Source organism: Homo sapiens, chromosome 8 (assembly GCF_000001405.40).
Source record: "Homo sapiens chromosome 8, GRCh38.p14 Primary Assembly".
NCBI classification, from domain to species: Eukaryota; Metazoa; Chordata; class Mammalia; order Primates; family Hominidae; genus Homo; species Homo sapiens.
The window spans coordinates 107,247,451-107,263,413 of record NC_000008.11 but is presented as its reverse complement, the minus strand read 5'-3'; the positions used below and the strand labels follow the sequence as shown (position 1 = coordinate 107,263,413).

The 15,963-nt window shown below is 35.6% G+C and overlaps 1 protein-coding gene and 1 long non-coding RNA gene across 4 annotated transcripts in view; one reads left to right on the top strand and one right to left on the bottom strand.

Moving 5' to 3' along the window:
• Nucleotides 1-13,932, top strand: part of ANGPT1 (angiopoietin 1) — a 248,437-nt gene extending 234,505 nt beyond the window's left edge. For all 3 annotated transcript variants that reach the window (NM_001199859.3, NM_001146.5, NM_001314051.2), the window contains one exon: nucleotides 11,399-13,932. In NM_001199859.3, coding sequence (NP_001186788.1) covers nucleotides 11,399-11,559 — 161 coding nt within the window. In that variant the 3' untranslated portion in view covers nucleotides 11,560-13,932. The remainder of the gene's footprint in view (nucleotides 1-11,398) is intronic.
• Nucleotides 6,762-10,374, bottom strand: LOC124902067 (uncharacterized). The gene is made up of 3 exons (XR_007061181.1): nucleotides 10,245-10,374; nucleotides 9,566-9,722; nucleotides 6,762-6,907 (listed from the first exon to the last, which is right to left on the bottom strand). It is a non-coding gene; the product is annotated as an uncharacterized LOC124902067 (long non-coding RNA).

Genomic DNA, 15,963 nt, shown 5'->3' with positions numbered 1-15,963 from the left:
TTTGTTTTAATTTTATGAGTTTTTTATCTACTTCCTTTTTTTTTTTTTTTTTTTTTTTTGAAACTGAGTTTTGCTCTTCTTGCCTAGGCTGGAGTGCAGTGGTGCTGTCTCGGCTCACTGCAGCCTCCACCTCCTGGGTTCAAGCGATTCTCCTGCCTCAGCCTCCCGAGTAGTTGGGATTACAGGTGCCCACCACCACGCCCGGCTAATTTTTCTATTTTTAGTAAAGACGGGGTTTCACCATGTTGGCCAGGCTGGTCTTGAACTCCGGACCTCAAGTGATCCGCCCACCTTGCTCTCCCAAAGTGCTGGGATTAGAGGCATGAGCCACCATGGCACCTGGCTATATCTAACTTCTGTTACAGCAAATGATGCTGATTTCCTCTTTAAATGAATGATATAAACTTGCATTTTAGAATGCATTCACAATATTCTGTATTTAACAAATAGTAGATTTAAAGAAAAAATTGTTACATATTAATAAGAGTTATAAATGGATATGGCAAAACTGTGAAGTTGATACATGACTGTCTGAAGTTTGGGAAACACTAAGATAAAACCCAATGGCAAATGATATCACTCAAGAATGTTATAGGCTCTGGCAGGAAAGGAGTTGACAACAAACAAAATTGTAAGAGAAATTCCTATTTCAGTGTTTCTCCTCTCACAGTTTTAGTGCTGCTTCTCTCTTACTGTAATAATCACTACCACCTTCAATTGTTCTGATATACTTTCTGTCTTATTCTGTTACAAAACATGATTTCATATTAGCAAGGAAAAAATTGTTCAAATCTAATATTTTCCTTTCCCAACACTACGTTACTACCATTATTAAAACATATTACGTGTTTCTGCACATGTTGTACTATCTTACTTGAACTCCAGATCCACTCTGTGAGATAGCAGGGAGAGAAACTCATCTCTATGTTGTACATGAGGAAAATGAATGACAGCTAGCATTTGCCATTTCATCCCAAACATCTAGCACAGCTGACTGTGACACATAGAAACTTATTAGAAAATGTAGTACCTGAATTAGTGAAGTAGTAGTGTACATGAATGAGCATAGTACATGAATTACCATCTTTTAACTCTTGAAATAACTTTCAAATTTTAAAACCAAATAAATAAATCATTAGGTTGATGTTATCTTCATCCACGAATAGAGCTTGGTAGAGTATAGGTGAAAGTTTTGGATGATGATGATTATCATTTTTTTGAGACCAAGTCTCACTCTGTTGCCCAGGCTGGAGTGCAATGGCGCAATCTAGGCTCACTGTAACCTCCGCCTCCCTGGTTCAAGTGATTATCTTGCCTCAGCCTCCTGAGTAGCTGGGACTACAGGTGCGTGCCACCATGCCTGGCTAATTTTTGTATTTTTAGTAGAGACAGGGTTTCACCATGTCAACCAGGCTGGTCTCGAAGCCCTGACCTCAGGTCATCCACCCACCTCAGCCTCCCAAAGTGCTGGGATTACAGGCATGAGCCACCACACCCAGCTGGTTTGGGATAAATCTTTTGTCTTCCTCCCTATCCCCAACCCCTCTATTACTATTATCACCAAATCACAGCCCATTGACCCCATCCATGCCACCTATGTTGATATCTTTTCAATATGATACCAGCCCCAATATTATCAAAACTAACCTATTATGATTCTGCCTCTATCATATTCTATCATATTCTTTCTTTCTTTCTTTTTTTTTTTTTAGATGGAGTCTTGCTCTGTCACCCAGGCTGGAGTGCAGTGACACGATCTTGGCTCACTGCAAGCTCCACTTCCAGGGTTCTTGCCATTCTCCTGCCTCAGCCTCCCAAGTTGCTGGGACTGCAGGCACCTGCCACCACGCCCGGCTAATTTTTTGTATTTTTACTAGAGACAGGGTTTCACTGTGTTAGCCAGGATGGTCTGAATCTCCTGACCTCATGATCCGACCGCCTCGGCCTCCCAAAGTGCTGGGATTACAGGTGTGAGCCACCGTGCCCGGCTTCATGTTCTTTTCCTTAATCTTTGAACTATCCTTTTGGCATCATATTTAACATCATCAAATATTAAAAAGTCTCCTATATGTAATTTTATGACTCCTCCCTCAGCCCTCACCCCCAAAACTAGTTGCTACAAATCTAATATTTTTTTTTAAATGGTACACACAAGGTAGGTCTTGAGCTTTTTCCTGATAGAAAATTTTTATTTTTATTACTTCCCTGATCTCATAAATGAAATTGTCAGCAACTTTATACAAAGACAAAGGGACTTTGATTTTTCAGTTTCCTGCACATTTTAATATTGAAATATGCTTTATTTTCTCCATGTCTATTTTCAAAGATATTTTTTCTTACCAAATAAATACAATACATGAAAAAACCAACAGTAAAATCTTTCAAATGTGTCCTTAGAAGAGTATTCCAATATGTTCATATTTCTGTCATAATAATGAAAATATGGAGTGAAGCAAAGAGAAGAATGTACATCTTGGTTTTCAATGAGAAAACTTCACTGCTCAGATTTATGATTTTATTTCTGCTTTAAATGATTGAACTTCGTCATGTTCTTTCATCCATAATTATTCTTGGACCCAATTCTTACTCACCAATAAACACATATGTTTGGGAGAGAATATTTCCACTTATTGCTTGGGCTGGAATAGTCTAAGTAAATGTGTTTTTGTAATAAACGCCATTACCTTATCAAATGTCCCTTTGAAAGAATCCAGGTCTTGCAAAGCTATTTATTATGGAAAGCTAAAATGTGGAATTTAGATAGCTAAGAACTGGAGAACATAAGGATGAATGTCATTGACAGTCCAGGTAACTGGAGTATTGCCTGGAACTTAGGTCCTACTTAGTTACTCCCCACCACTACTACTTATTCTCTGTCAAAATTTCCCTTAGAGCCATTTTCCTCATCTAATGATTTTTCCTTTCCTTTTTTTTCTTTTTAAACTTAGTATTTGAGCCTGTTGCCTATTTAAAATACCCTCTCTTAAGCAGTGAGACTTCATACTCTTTGGAGCTAGTAACTCATAGCTCTTTGTCATCATCAATTAAAGCTTTGTTTTATCTTGTTTATTTATATATTTTTCCTTTGTTTCTTCTAAAAGGGATTAAGAGTAAAATAAGATTTATTGCCCACTAACTATCCTAGTTTTCTTCAAGTACATAGAGGAATTCTAGCTGGAGAATCTGGTATCATTACCCTTATCGGTAAAAGACTGAATGGCAGGAAATAGGCTTAACTGAAAGCAGAAGGTATTTCAGCTAGACCCAAGGTAGGACTTGATCTTTGTTCTTCATTTCCTAACTTCCTTATTTCTTGGCTTTCTTCTATCAGTTTAAGGGGGTTAATTACTATTAAACAAATGAGCAAGACAGGCTAGAGCATAAGTTTCATTAAAAATTTAAAAGAAATAGTTTTATCTACTATTTAACATTAAGAAAATGAAAATGAAATCTCATTCAATGCATACTTTTTGTATAGATTTATTGTATATGGAGATAAATATGTGAAAAATTCTGATTCCAAAATTAAGACAGTGACAAATTTTTGTTACTAGATTGTCACATTCAAAACAAACTTACCTTCAGCTAAAAAAAAATCTTTGATACTAAATTAGGAGTTTTCAAAGTCTGCATTTCTGAAAGTTTGCTTAAGCTACAGTTAACTAAAATTATTAATGTTATAATTAAAGAATTATTTCTAAAAATCTTTCATAAACTGTAATTATTAAAGGTTGCCAACAACAAAAACAAATATGTTACCGTTTTACATTCCTTACTTTAGTTTCAGTATAATTTCCATATTTAGTACATAATATAAAGGCTATGTAAAAATGTGACCTAACTTTCTGTAGAAAGAATCTATTGAAGTAGAAACTCTCATTTCTTTTCCCAATGCATAAACCATGTCAACTGGTAGACAAGACTTTCTAAAGCTAACGAAGGATATTTTTCAGTTCAGTCCTTAAATAGGGGATAAAGCCATACACGTAAATTTCTTAGTACATCTAGAACTTTCCAGATGCTAACAGCAGACAGTTGACAAACGCTCACTTTGCCTACTATATAATCTTAAAGAAGACAAAGAAAATGATAGAAGCTAGCAGTTTTTTCAACTGGTGTATGACCTTGAAGTGACAAGATCTTTGGGAAAATATAATTGTCTTAGCATTTTTGGGAACCCAAGAAAGACCTGCTAAGCATGATCAGATAACTAAAATTCTCTGTTTCAAGGTAAAAATATTGAGAGAAAAGAAGATCCATATGACTAATGTAAGATTGACTATAGAAATCTACATTGCACTACTTTTATTTCAACCCAATTTCTATATTTAGTACATAAAACGTAAGCCTATTCTACACAAATGTAAGTTCTGTGAATGCAGGGATTTTATGCTGTCCACTACTGTATCCCCAGTGGCTGCCATAGTGTGTGGCAGATAGCATATGTTCAATAAATATTGGTTTAGTGAGTAAATGTTAGCAGAGACTCTGAAAGGACATTGCAAAATTACAAATTATTCTGGTGAAAATACATAAATGAATGTTAGTATAAACGTGATTCTTGCATGAACTTATATTTAAAATGCCTAATACATACATGTATTTATATGCACCAGCATGGAACAAAGAGATGACTATCAAAGACTGAAACTAACTTAAGAATAACCAAACCCCAAAAGACTGAACTGCAGAATTATAAAAATTTGAGTGTTAGGTTCCTGACTGTCAAATAAATTTGAGCTTCCTAAAATGCAAAGTTTAAGATTACATTCCTATTTTCTCGGGCAAAGTTTCATTTCTTAGAAAAAGAGCAAAGAGTATCAGAAAATGTCTTTTATAAGTTTGGAAAAAGGTGAATCAGAACCGATAGTCCTCTCGTGCAAGGCTACAACCAAAGCTTAATAATTGACAGTGGATGAGAAATAACCAATTAATTTTGTATTGTACTCAGTAATAATATTTAAAAACTTATTGAGCTCTTTCTAATGGATACGTTTATATTATTCTAAATGATTTATATTTAATAACATATATGAAGCTTCCAAAAACTCTTGGAAATACAGACTACAATAATACTTTTGGCAAGAACTGAGATACAGAAAAGTTAGATAATTTGCCATAGGTCACAGAATTTTGTCAGAAGTAGAATTTAAATGCAGGTACTCAACCTCCAGAGGCCTTTGTTCTATCTACTCTTTCTACTGCCTCCATTAAAAGGGATGACATTCAAAGAGAATGACAGAGCTCTATTGTACCGTTTGCAGCATCTTTTTGCAAGCATTTCCTCATTTAAACATGGTTAAAAGCAAAATGAAGTATGAGGGAGAAGAGAGGAGGTAAAAGAATACCTAGAAGTTTTAAGTGAATTTGATATTCCTAGCCAGGATAAACAACTTTTCATCTTTAGAACAAAAAGAAGAGAAAGGAAAAGAAAGAAAGAAGAAAGGAAAGAAAGGAAAGAAAGAAAGAGAGAGAGAGAGAGAGAGAAAGAAAGAACAGTCAAAAACAAACAAACAAACAAACAAACAAAAAAGAAACAAAAACAAGTCCTTGGCCTGAAGAGGATATATTAAGAGATGACAGAAGGAATGGACTTCTAGCAAGGTTCTTTGCCTCCTGCATGCAAGACCCATGCAGCTGCTTCTTGAGGCTTGCTTTGCGTAGGGCCAACTTTGTCCACATAAACTCACCAAGAGATTTTTTCCATTATGATCCCATTGATGGCACCAATCAATTTAGTTTAAACTCATTCTTAGTTAGTGATGAAAGATGAAAATCTTAATTTCTGTGCAAGCTGTTTTGCATACTGCTGATTAGAATGCATGCATTGAAAACGAACAAAAGAAATCTACAAAAACAAATATACCTTTTCATTTTGCTGTACATTTTACCACAGAAAAGAAGTGTTGAGAGGTGTTTTGTTTAGAATCAGAAGAATTTAAGAGTTAGATTTCCTGATGTTCAAATAAAGTTGAACTTCCTGAGTACAAAGTTGAGAATCAAATTCCTATTTTCTGGGCAAAGTTTCATCTATTAGCGATAAAATGTGAATTTTCTGCTTCAAAGATAAAAGACACAAATGATTTTAAAAGGCCTGGGATAGTTATTACTAAACTAAATTTTAATGAGTTAAGTGTAAATGAATTGGAAACATGAATCTCAGATTTCTTATTAAAATATACATGAGGTTACAGGTTATGAAGAAAAATGCTTCGAAAGTACATCTCAGCAGTTGCCAACCTTAAGACATTTGAGGCTGAGCGCGGTGGCTCACGCCTGTAATCTCAGCACTTTGGGAGGCCGAGGTGATTCGATCACCTGAGGTCAGGAGTTCGAGACCAGCCTGGCCAACATGGCAAAACCCCACCTCTACTAAAAAAAATACAAAAATTAGCCAGGCGTGGTAGCGGATGCCTGTAGTCCTAGCTACTCAGGAGGCTGAGGCAGGAGAATGGCTTGAACCCGAGAGGCGGAGGTTGCGGTGAGCCAAGATTGTGCCACTGCACTCCAGCCTGGGTGACAGAGTGAGACTCCATCTCAAAAAAAACAAAACAAAACAAAAAAAAAAACAGAACAAAACAAAACAAAAAAACATTTGAGACATTTTATCAGTTGTCCCAATAGCAGAGGGTAACTTTTTTTTCAATCCTTTGCTTGCATCATTGAGTTCTTTCAGGCTTGAAGTGCCTTCCCTAAATGAATTGCTCTAGGATATTTCTTATTTGTTATTCCCAAGCATAAACAAAATACAAAGTCAGTGTTTTCCCAGGATTGCACAGAATATATAATTCAGCTATTCAGAATCTTATCAGAGAGGAACTGTAAACTCAGGCATACTCTTCTGTATATTCATAGAACATCTTCATCCCATGCAGATTTACCATATGTACTGAGTATCTATGATCACCTGTAAATACAAGGAATGCATATGAGTAATGAGGAGTCTGCTATACTTTTGCCTGCATTGAAAAAATGCTTTAAACCACATATTTTCAGGATTTGTGTTTAAAAGACTTGGCCATGCTTAATTTTTAAAAATAAAGGTAGAAAGTGGACAAACTGTTTGAAATATTTGATACGAACAAATTATTTAGTTTGTTTTAATGTATATATCAAAGAAAACAGAGAATCCTTGCCTACACAGAAGTAATTACTTCTTCTACCTTGAAGTTAGGATATTTTATAATAAAACTGAAATTGTCATGAGAAATAATTGCTCTTTTATTTCATTTTCTTCCATCTTAATTCATCATCTTTATTATCAGTTGCTCTGAGATAGATCACAGAATTCATGGCCCACTAGTCTTAAGATAAAGAGTTAATTGAACATTTCAAACTCCTTGATTTGTCATGAAATCAAAATGAAACATTTAAAAAAATTAGGAACTTAAATGCCAAGTTTTTATAACATGAACATTGTACAGTTGTACTTATTTGGGTCTAATTATTTTCATATTTCTCTAATAAACCCCACTAAGCAAATAAGAAAATATGTTGGCACTGATGACCTTGTCTTTATTATTAAATTACTGTGATGCTCCACAAGGTCTTGTCTCTTTTTTTTCTGGCCTAAACATTCTGCCCCATTTTCTAGATAACTTACAGCTGGCACTTTAGTAGGATTTTACAGGCTGTAATAGTGCATTATCTTATTTGATTCTTATAACTGTGCTGTGAAAATGGTTGGTTAGCTCTTAGAATCTATGTATTATGAATGTGACCTTAAGCAGTTCCTTAAACTCTGTGAGCATTAGTATCTTTATTATGGTACTTGCCACATCACTTAAGGCTGTTTGGGGGATAAAATGAGAAAATGCATATAAATACCTTCATATGAACGATTCAATAAATATCAAATACTATTGGTACTATTGTGTAGGATCTCTTGGTTATTTATTGATGAAGTAAGCATGAAAAGTCTGGGTCTTCTAACTTCTGCTCCGGCGCTCTCCAGGCTTCCCATTGCCCAAAAGAAAATGTCTAAAGGTGTAATAAAAACCTTTATGTTTTCCCTCCTGTTTATTTTTTAGCCCTATATTCTCCAACCCTTTAACCCACTGGCACTCCAGCCAAGCCAACCTGCTGGCAGACACTCTCCCCTGGTCTTCCAGAGTACAGACTATATAGAAGCTCTTTCTGTCCAGTGAACTCATACCCATCTTTCAGGACCCAGAGCAGCTGTTGAATGAGTGAGCTTTGTGGTCCCTCAGACAGTTAGCACCTACTGCCTCTGTGTTTCCATCAAATTTTCTTCTTCTCTTAGTTTAACGGCTATCATCTCAATGTGTAGCATTTTGTTTGTCTCCTACACAAAACTGTGCATGCTTTAAAGTCAGAAATTTTGTTTCCAAAAATTTCTGTCCCCTATCCCTATCCATTGGTTAATATTTGCAGAATTGATTCTAGACTCAATTTTCTCCTTTTTTTTTTTAAGCTGTCACATATGCTCAGGATGGCTTTGGAAGATCGTAGAGAATGAGGACTCTAAACCATGTTTGATTAAACATTTAACCTAGCAGATCTGGTTCTTCTGGTTCGATTGTGGTTCCCATCTGTAGAGAATGTTTTACTTGTTTGCCTGATCATGGACAAGCAGGCTGGCTAAACTACAAATTGTTCCATAAACATTGAACTTCTCACCAGGACTGCCTATTCCTCCACCTTCATTTCCTGCAAGTCATTTCTTGTTTACTGTGCACCAGTTGCACTGATGTCCCTACACATCCCAAGCTTGTTTTCTTCCTCATCGCCTTTGCAGGTGCTGTATTCTGCTTAGCAGGGTCTTTTCCCATCTTCTTGGGGCTGTCTCTCTCCTCCTTCTGGTCTCGTTAAATATCAGCTTCTTTCACAAATGTGAAAAGTCAAGTTATTCTCCTTCAGAGCTCCTACGTATTTTCTTCATGACATTTTAAGTCATAATTTATATTAGGTTGGTGCAAAAGTAATTGCGTTTTTTGTCAATAACAGTCATGGCAAAAACCGCAGTTACTTTTGCACCAACCTAATAGTTATTTTATGTGCCTGCTTACATATATTCATCTGTTTCTCCCATTAGAAGTGAGTTTCATGAAGGCAAGGACTATGTCTGTCTTGAGTATTGTGTAACAACGTTTCACAATAATTATATATTGAATGGATACATAAAGAAAAAAATGAATACAATAAGGACAGGTGTTACATTTTGGGGTATCTATCAAATACAGCATTTTAGTAAGCTAAACAACTTCAGACAACAAAGACTTCACAAGGAGAACCAATCAGAGAGTCAATCAGTTAACAAGCCTGCAGTGACCCGCCGGTCATTTGGGAAGCAAACTTCGTTAGGTGTCCTACTAAGTACAGGAGATGGGCCAATATACAAACCATGGCTTTCCATTGTTTTTAGGATGATGAACAAAACACTGGGTGATTTGCTTCAGACCCACTTAGCTTCAGGTGACTATCCCCCTCGTTGATTGTGACCCAGCCATACTGGCCTTCCTTCAATGTCTCCAAAATGCCATTCTACTCATTGCAAACATTACCCCACTTTATTCCTTCAAAAAGCTACACAAGATCAATTTACCTGACTCTCTCACAGGCTCTTACTGTTTCTTGTCTCTTTCCTAAGTTTTCCCAAAGTTTCCCAATGAGCGTATCCTTTAGCCTGTGCTCTTTATTGCCAGGCTGTTGTTGCAACAGACGTCTGTCTTTCCGCACTCCTCTGGGACTCCTGTGACTTTCTATAAACCAAATAAACAAAAACACACATTTTACCCCAATGCAACTTGGAAGAGAATTCTATGAATCATTGTCAGTCTCAACAATAGAGTAAGTGTGTTTGCTTGAGAGACCATGGTGCATATTTGAAAGACTATAAAAAAGTTCATTAATGCAATGGAAAAGTGCTTCAAGAAGGTCACAGAAAAGGAGGAGAAAAGTTAAAAACAGAATCAATCAAGTTGAATTTCATCTTAGAGTTTTATTTTAGTCCTTTAGAAAGAGTCTTTTGGGCAAATAAATTCACTAATATTAGAATGCTTTTTATAATATAAACAGCATATTTAACAGCTGTACTGATCAAAAATTAGAAGAATTAATCTTAAGAAAAACAAAGGTAGGATTTTACTTGCAGTTCCTCCTTCTTTTCCAAACAAGAACCTTTTTGTCCCTCATGTTTTGACTACATTAACATTTATGTTGTTTGCATACAGTTGATAAAACTGCACGGAATATAATGTCTTTCCAAATTCATCAAGACATACCTTGTGGTTCCCCACTATGAACTGGTGATTAATGCAGCTTGTTACGCCTCTAGTGTGACTTTATAAACACAAGCCAGCTGTACTCATCTTCTAAAGTTGAAAAATGAGAACTAGCTTTTCTCCATTTGACTTCTTCTAAAGTTTCTGCAAGATTGTGCTCATGTTACAGTTAAACATCAGCTGTACAGCTTTCTCTTTCTTTAGCTATTAGTCCCTTAGGTATAAGTCTGTAATCAAAGAGAGGTCAACTGTATCCAAATAAAAAATATGCCAGAATGTCTCTGGCATAAATCTCTCCCTAAAGATTCAGTAGTGTTACTTCAGCAGACAGGAAAAAACACTATGCTTTATCTAAAAATCTAAGAACTTAATTTATTTAAAAAATAAAACTGACTTATCCAGTTATCCTTATAGAGAGCTATACAAGCATAGAATTTCCATGTTACTCATCAAGTTGTTTTTCTTTTTACTAAGTTTGGAAAGCACTTAAATAACCATAGACAAAATATGGCTGTACAGGAACTGAATGGCTACTATTGCTGAACACTTTTTCTACTGTTATAAACTACAGAGAGGGTACGTTAATTAAAAGCCCTTTTGAGCATCATAGTCATTGCACAGTATCCAATTAATTTTAGAAGCAGCTTAGGGCCAATTATTGACAAACATATGCAGTAGATGGAGAATATCTTTCTATTTAGATCTCAGTTGCTTGTCTAAGTTTCTGCATTTCTTCACTAATAATTAATTGTTCTATTCCCAATAACAGTCTTAAGATGGAATGCCTCTTATGGGTATATGCATTTTCCTTATTGCATTTGTCTTAAATGTAAATCCATCTCTTATGTAGATTGTATCTTGAAGCCCAGAGGCTTCCCATCATTACAAGAAGAAGTGAGTTCCAGTGGAGTCACACTGAAAGCTGCTTTCCATGAGAGCATTGCTGTCTGTGATGGGTCATACAAATCTTAAATCAGAAGTCATTTAAAACAGTTTCACTACTGGGAATATATTTACTGATGCCTCGTAATTGCAAATAAGCATAACAAGAACAAGCAAGTTTCCCATCATTTAATGCCATTAATTTCCAAATATTCCATTTACTTAAAATTGTTGCCTCTCCTTCTCTCTTCTATTATGAATTATTTTTTCAGGATGGTGGTTTGATGCTTGTGGCCCCTCCAATCTAAATGGAATGTTCTATACTGCGGGACAAAACCATGGAAAACTGAATGGGATAAAGTGGCACTACTTCAAAGGGCCCAGTTACTCCTTACGTTCCACAACTATGATGATTCGACCTTTAGATTTTTGAAAGCGCAATGTCAGAAGCGATTATGAAAGCAACAAAGAAATCCGGAGAAGCTGCCAGGTGAGAAACTGTTTGAAAACTTCAGAAGCAAACAATATTGTCTCCCTTCCAGCAATAAGTGGTAGTTATGTGAAGTCACCAAGGTTCTTGACCGTGAATCTGGAGCCGTTTGAGTTCACAAGAGTCTCTACTTGGGGTGACAGTGCTCACGTGGCTCGACTATAGAAAACTCCACTGACTGTCGGGCTTTAAAAAGGGAAGAAACTGCTGAGCTTGCTGTGCTTCAAACTACTACTGGACCTTATTTTGGAACTATGGTAGCCAGATGATAAATATGGTTAATTTCATGTAAAACAGAAAAAAAGAGTGAAAAAGAGAATATACATGAAGAATAGAAACAAGCCTGCCATAATCCTTTGGAAAAGATGTATTATACCAGTGAAAAGGTGTTATATCTATGCAAACCTACTAACAAATTATACTGTTGCACAATTTTGATAAAAATTTAGAACAGCATTGTCCTCTGAGTTGGTTAAATGTTAATGGATTTCAGAAGCCTAATTCCAGTATCATACTTACTAGTTGATTTCTGCTTACCCATCTTCAAATGAAAATTCCATTTTTGTAAGCCATAATGAACTGTAGTACATGGACAATAAGTGTGTGGTAGAAACAAACTCCATTACTCTGATTTTTGATACAGTTTTCAGAAAAAGAAATGAACATAATCAAGTAAGGATGTATGTGGTGAAAACTTACCACCCCCATACTATGGTTTTCATTTACTCTAAAAACTGATTGAATGATATATAAATATATTTATAGCCTGAGTAAAGTTAAAAGAATGTAAAATATATCATCAAGTTCTTAAAATAATATACATGCATTTAATATTTCCTTTGATATTATACAGGAAAGCAATATTTTGGAGTATGTTAAGTTGAAGTAAAAGCAAGTACTCTGGAGCAGTTCATTTTACAGTATCTACTTGCATGTGTATACATACATGTAACTTCATTATTTTAAAAATATTTTTAGAACTCCAATACTCACCCTGTTATGTCTTGCTAATTTAAATTTTGCTAATTAACTGAAACATGCTTACCAGATTCACACTGTTCCAGTGTCTATAAAAGAAACACTTTGAAGTCTATAAAAAATAAAATAATTATAAATATCATTGTACATAGCATGTTTATATCTGCAAAAAACCTAATAGCTAATTAATCTGGAATATGCAACATTGTCCTTAATTGATGCAAATAACACAAATGCTCAAAGAAATCTACTATATCCCTTAATGAAATACATCATTCTTCATATATTTCTCCTTCAGTCCATTCCCTTAGGCAATTTTTAATTTTTAAAAATTATTATCAGGGGAGAAAAATTGGCAAAACTATTATATGTAAGGGAAATATATACAAAAAGAAAATTAATCATAGTCACCTGACTAAGAAATTCTGACTGCTAGTTGCCATAAATAACTCAATGGAAATATTCCTATGGGATAATGTATTTTAAGTGAATTTTTGGGGTGCTTGAAGTTACTGCATTATTTTATCAAGAAGTCTTCTCTGCCTGTAAGTGTCCAAGGTTATGACAGTAAACAGTTTTTATTAAAACATGAGTCACTATGGGATGAGAAAATTGAAATAAAGCTACTGGGCCTCCTCTCATAAAAGAGACAGTTGTTGGCAAGGTAGCAATACCAGTTTCAAACTTGGTGACTTGATCCACTATGCCTTAATGGTTTCCTCCATTTGAGAAAATAAAGCTATTCACATTGTTAAGAAAAATACTTTTTAAAGTTTACCATCAAGTCTTTTTTATATTTATGTGTCTGTATTCTACCCCTTTTTGCCTTACAAGTGATATTTGCAGGTATTATACCATTTTTCTATTCTTGGTGGCTTCTTCATAGCAGGTAAGCCTCTCCTTCTAAAAACTTCTCAACTGTTTTCATTTAAGGGAAAGAAAATGAGTATTTTGTCCTTTTGTGTTCCTACAGACACTTTCTTAAACCAGTTTTTGGATAAAGAATACTATTTCCAAACTCATATTACAAAAACAAAATAAAATAATAAAAAAAGAAAGCATGATATTTACTGTTTTGTTGTCTGGGTTTGAGAAATGAAATATTGTTTCCAATTATTTATAATAAATCAGTATAAAATGTTTTATGATTGTTATGTGTATTATGTAATACGTACATGTTTATGGCAATTTAACATGTGTATTCTTTTAATTGTTTCAGAATAGGATAATTAGGTATTCGAATTTTGTCTTTAAAATTCATGTGGTTTCTATGCAAAGTTCTTCATATCATCACAACATTATTTGATTTAAATAAAATTGAAAGTAATATTTGTGCAACTTCATTTTATTTTTAATACGTATTTTGCCAAATTTAAATTAGAGATTTATGAAGATATAGAATCATTGACAAAAACCTACCAAATGAACTAAAGCCTCAATCTTAGAACAACTTTCAGTCTGGGATGAAATAAGAAAGCTTAGCCTCATTAGAATGGTAGATCAAAGCAGTGGATCTCAGTCCCATGTCCCTACAATATGATTGTCATGTCTTGCCAATTATTACATGCCATATTATCATGTGGCAACGGACAATATATTCTGGGAACTCTGAATGTAGAATAAGAGGATGTGTGTTAAAAATCTGAGCTTGGTATACAGGGGGAAAAGGAAGGAGCGTAAAGAAGATGCTACTTGTCTCACTCACCTGACATGCCATCAGCAGTCTTATCAGTCCTTGCATTCTTACCTTTGGCCTTGATTCTGCTCCTATTGCCATTACATTGATTCAAACCTTCCTTAATTTCCACCTAGATGATTGGAAAAGACACTCTTTCATCCTGCCTCTCTATGCTGTTGTTCACCTCGTAACCATAAAAGCTTATTCCTTCTAAAGCCAGACTTCTGAACATGGTTTTTCCCTGCTCAAAACACTTCAGTGTTTCCTCACTACTCCCTGAACTTAAAATAAACAGGTCAGGTTAATCTCAGCCTGCATTGCCAGACAGCTTCATTCCACCTACTCAGTATTCCAATCAGAACAAAGAAGCCCCATGGTCGACTACTTGCAAAAATGATGCCTATTCTTCCCCTTTCTGTATTCATACCTTTTGCAATGCGACTTTGCAGCTTGTTCCATAAAGAGATAAACTCTATTTCCTTACTCCCTGAATGGCTAACTCTGACCTTCTGTAGCCAATAAAACACAACAGAAGTGATAACTATGTGCCAGTTCTGAGTCTGGTCAGAAACATTCTACCTTTGGCATGAAAAAAAGTCCAGCATAGCCTAATGGAGGATTAGAGACCATGTGGAGCAAAGCCTAGTCTACCAGCTGAGACCACCCTAGACCAGCCAGCCCACAGCTGACCCATGGGTGATTCCAGATACATGAGTGATCTCAACTGAGATCAACTGAGCCTGGCTCAGATAGCAGAACTGCTCAGCTAACGTGCATTATCATGAGAAACAATAATGGGTTGTTGTTTTAAACCACTGCATTTTCTTTTTCAGAGTTTTGTTAAACATCATTATTGTAGCAATAGCTACCTGATACAGAATACAGTGCTGCAGTCCCCACCTACCCTTCTGCCAGCCGTGTGAGTTTTATGCATCCTGAGCTTTCAGGACCGCTATCCCAAATGTCCCTTCCTTCAGCTCAGATGGGCAAAACAATCCTCTAACAACCCTCTGGGATGCATAAAAACATTAGCTGCTTCATGACCCCTTTTCTGATGCCCTCTATTAATTGTCACCTTCTCAATACATACATACTTTTACAGCTCAACATATTTTGCTTGGGTTTTATAAAAGGCTGCCTCTTACTTATTTTTTTTTAATTCCCCACAGTACCTACCAGAAACTTGTTATTTGTTGAATGGAATTGAATTGCTTTGAAAGACTAAGAAATCACTTCTACCTATAAAAAATCCAACTCTCAGATTTGACCACTATGTTGAGTCATTTATTTTCAGACTTTAAACTTAGGCCATTCTCCTCCAGAAAAAGATGTCCGAATTTATAATTTTAGTTATCTCAGATGTCTAGTTTATTATCAACTTCGCTGGAACATATGTATTATATAAATTGAGGGAAACCTACATGCTTCTTTTAAACTTAAAACTGTAAATATAGAAAATGTACCATTGAACGGTAATTACTCATTTACTCTTTACACATATATTATTGCTGGGGCCAGGCACGGTGGCTCACGCCTATAATCCCAGCACTTTGGGAGGCCTAGGCAGGTGGATCATGAGGTCAGGAGTTCGAGATAAGCCTGGCCAACATGGTGAAACCCCAGTTCCACTAAAGATACAAAAAATTAGCCAGGCGTGGTGGCAGGTAGCTGTAATCCCAGCTACTCAGGAG